The 4,125-nt window shown below is 42.8% G+C and overlaps 1 annotated feature.

Moving 5' to 3' along the window:
* Positions 2,824-3,724: an enhancer, noted in NCBI's record as "NANOG hESC enhancer chr2:192343668-192344568 (GRCh37/hg19 assembly coordinates)". NCBI's record gives its function as "activates a minimal SCP1, AML or CMV promoter by ChIP-STARR-seq in primed H9 embryonic stem cells {active_cell/tissue: H9 hESC(primed)}" and the evidence as "EXISTENCE:reporter gene assay evidence [ECO:0000049][PMID:30033119]".

The raw sequence follows: 4,125 nt of genomic DNA on the forward strand, positions 1-4,125 counted from the left end.
CTTCATCAGGTGCTCAAAATCTAGTGGAAAGATGGATGTATAAGTAAACAATTACAATATCAAGTGATAGATGCTACAATGAGATGTTTCCAGAAAGCTGTGGGAAATGATGGGAGAGTGTAATTAATTTTCAAAGAGGACTGTGCGGTGTTAGAAAGTAAAAACACCTCCAAATAAGGAAGAGGAACAGGCTATGACCTAAGGCTTGCTTGGACCAGTATAAGCATGCCAGGGCAAATATTTATGCAAACTTGTGGGAGTTAAGAACACAAAGTATATTGATTTCTTTATTACGGCTAGCAGATATTTTAGAATGTTAGCACAGGTCTTTGAATAAATTTTGCTTCTAAGAGAAGTTACATTTGTTCTTAATTAGATGCGGAGGAAAGTCTCTTTGAAGAGGAACTTCTACTTCACTTTTTACAGAGGCTCAGAGATGAGGTGACATTTGAGTTGCCTTGAAGGATAAGCAGGAATTTGCCAGGCAATAGATAAAGGAAAAAGAACTAGACTCTTGGCCTGCTCTTCTTTCCAACACTCAGATCGTTTTGAGGGCAGAGAAGGTCCATCCTTCTGATAACTGGAATCAACAGCTGACCAGAAGCATAAGCTGAGATGTGTAGTGAATATTGGTACTACAGGAATAAAACCACCAGGCTTAAGCAAGACTGTAGATGGAGACCAGCATGGCATTGCCCTTTTCTGGGCCTGTTTTCTCATCTGTAAAAGACAGAGGTTAAGTAAGAGATGTAGAGTAGGTTATTCTCACTCTTCAATTCTGTGATGCTAGGACTTCCCTAAATGTGATTCTCTGAAGGTTAAATAGTCTCCACTCCCTCAACTATTCCTCATACGATGTTTTCCAAGATTATGTACCACACATGTGCCTTCCGTTGCGTGGATTCTACTTTGTCAACGTCCACTTCAAAACATAGCATACAGCACTGTGATGCCCAGAATGAATGTAATACTCCAGACATGCACCCGCCAGAGGGCAGACTCTGAGGCAATATCCTTTACCTAGATATTGTACTTCAATTGGTGCAGCACAAAGCTTCATGAGTTGTTTTCCAGTCACACCATAGGTTCAAAGCCTTGTTTGCATGAACTCTTAATCTATCCATGTATTGTTAATTGATCTATCCTATGTATTGTTGATACAGGAGTTAAGAAAGAATTACTTCGGCAGATAGCAAGGGCATGTGAGTCCTCAGTAAGGCTTTTCTTTTTAATGAAATGCAGCCCCAAATCATTTCTAACAGAACAGCCTGCAAGCTGTGAGCTTGCATGGACGAATGCTGGCAGGAACTAAGGACTAGACATTTTCTTTTTTTTATTTTTGGAGACGGAGTCTCGCTCTGTCACCCAGGCTGGAATGCAGTGGCGCGATCTCGGCTCACTGCAAGCTCCGCTTCCTAGGTTCAAGCCATTCTCCTGCCTCAGCCTCCTGAGTAGCTGGGACTACAGGCGCCCGCCACCACGCCCAACTAATTTTTTTTTTTTTTGTATTTTTAGTAGAGACGAGATTTCACCGTGTTAGCCAGGATGGTCTGGATCTCCTGGCCTTATGATCCGCCCACCTTGGCCTCCCAAAGTGCTGGGATTACAGGCGTGAGCCACCGCGCCAGGCCAGGACCAGATATTTTCAAGATGGCGGCTCCATCTTCCCTTCTCTGCCCAGCCCGGTGTGCTGTAAGGAGCAGACAAGATGGCACTGATCAACTTGCATAGGAAGATTAGGGTGGGACAACTAGCCTTCCCCACGTGCTATGTAAACATCATACCTAATCAAACTAATCTATGAGTCCTATGAAAATCGGACATCCCCTCCTCAAACTGGACTATGAAACTCGGCATATTCGCCATCAGCAGGCCCCTTCCACTTGGAGACCTCTCTTGGGCACCCCGCTTTCTCAGCATGAGGAAGCTTTCTCTCTCTCTCTTCTTCTTTGTCTATTAAACTTTCTGCTTCTAAACCCACTCCTTGTGTGTGTCCGTGTCCTAAATGTTCCTGGCACGCGAAGACAAAGCCCAAGGTATATGCCCCAGACAACAAAGCCGCTTCATTGTAAGTTTATGCAATTGATTGAACCTAAATGGAAGACCTGATACTTGTTCATGTAAAATTTATCTTAATATTCACAGAAGTATCTAGCATAGTCAATAAGTATTTGTTGAATTGAATAGATTTTCATTTTGCTTTGGGCTGTCAATACAACTTTAGAAAAGCTTTCTGAATTTTTATTAATTTAATATTTTATAATACTTAAATCTTTCTACTCTAAAAAGTGATTTAAGAACCTTGATTCAGCATTCCCTCTCAGCTGTGTGATTTCCACAAATCAGACAGATATCGTATTTCTGTACCCATAAGGAATGTGACCTAGAAAAGGCATTGACCTGGGGTTTGCCACCAGCTTTCTCCATTAATAAGTTATGTCCTGCTAATAACAGTGTTAAATGTAAAGGTCACAAAGCACACTAAAATCGAAAAACAGAATCTTCAATGTGCAGATTTTCAAACATAAAAATAATAACATGGTCATTTCATTGAAAGATTCACCAGTGCAAATCCTACATGGAATAGGAGATGTAAAATTCCCTGAACCACTCGGAAAGTGTGACCACGCTGACAGGCTTGAATCTCAAATTTTAATTAAGGCCATCTTGCTTTTTGTGAAGAATTTTAAAAGCTGTTCTAAATTGGATTGTTCGGGGTGGTTTCCATGCACTCACAAGGATAACACCGGCAGCTGAATAGAAAACTCTAAGAACCAGGAGGCTCATACACTGCACTGATACCGATTCTCCTTTTTTTACCCCAGAAGCCACGCCCAGCCTTCAAGCATCTGTCCGTACATCATTACACAGCGCCTTCCCTTCCCCCTTAGCAGATAGAAGGTTATAAAGAGGTGGTGCCAAGAGGGACAAAAGATTCTCATAATTGTATTTTCCAGCAATTTTTTTCTTTTAATTCTGTGCTCTTCAAAAACTACAGGAGTGACTGCATGTAAATAGACCTCTCTGATGGATGGCTGATTGCCATTGACTCTTTGCAAATTTAATCCATTAAGTGCCTCCTATAGAAAGAGAATACAATGCCCTACAATGCAGAGGGTCAACCTTAGAAAATAAAACACAACCTGAATGGGGCAGTGCAAGAAGAGAAATCCACACAGCCTCTGATGGTAAAAAGCTCTTTGTTGTTTACTTATTTTATTATTTCAGAAGGAAAGCTAAATCAGGAGTCTGATGCTTGTGCTAATCTTTTTCTTTCCTTTTTTCCCCTCCCTCAGGAAGGAAGCCATTCAGGCAACAATCAGGCTCTTATCTTGGGCTTCTTATCATTAACCAGAGGAGCCTGTGCTGGAAATGAAATTCAGAGGCACGGCCAGGAAAGGCTGTTTCCCTAATTGAGCGGCTGCCTTTTGAAATCTTGTCTCCCCAGCGGAGCCTGGAGCTGGCTAGGTCTCCCTGGCCAAGATCACTCATTGTGTAATCTCTCACACACCAGGAGCAGATGCTCCTCGACTGGAGCTTTTATGAAAGGCCTTTAATAAGGCTTCTCAACCTGCCACACGTTGGGCAGCCAGAGGGAGGGGCAGTTTTCAGAAAAGCCTCTGATCAAGGAGTTCAAGACTCTAGACGCGTTTGGGCTTTGCCGTCAGATGTACTTCAGTCAAGATTCTGCAGTTTGGGGGAATTCTCAGCACCCTGAGGGGACTTCCCATTTCATCCCCTCCCTTGCTTTCCCCTGCCTTGCCTTCACAGGGTTGTGGTCAAGTTTAAATGGCATTGTGTATAGAAAGGACTTGACGCAGATTAAGGGTGTAGTAAATAATATTACAATAAATGTATTCTGTTGACTTACTGGGGTCCTATCATTCTCCATCATCCATTGCTGGTCTCTATCCCTTGGCTAACATTCTCCCTGCTTCCCTGGTGAATCTGATACTCAATCTTGGCTCTACGAGTGCTCAGTTTTAAGAACAAGGACTCTGAGCCCTGGGTATGGAAATTGCCTTTCTTTGCCTGGGCAGATAGACCCTGGGTAGGGAAGAAGGTAGGATTTGGGTATTTCAGGAAATTACCAATGCCTGGCACTCCCAGACTGACATCTCAGGG

This window comes from Homo sapiens, chromosome 2 (genome assembly GCF_000001405.40).
Source record: "Homo sapiens chromosome 2, GRCh38.p14 Primary Assembly".
NCBI classification, from domain to species: domain Eukaryota; kingdom Metazoa; phylum Chordata; class Mammalia; order Primates; family Hominidae; genus Homo; species Homo sapiens.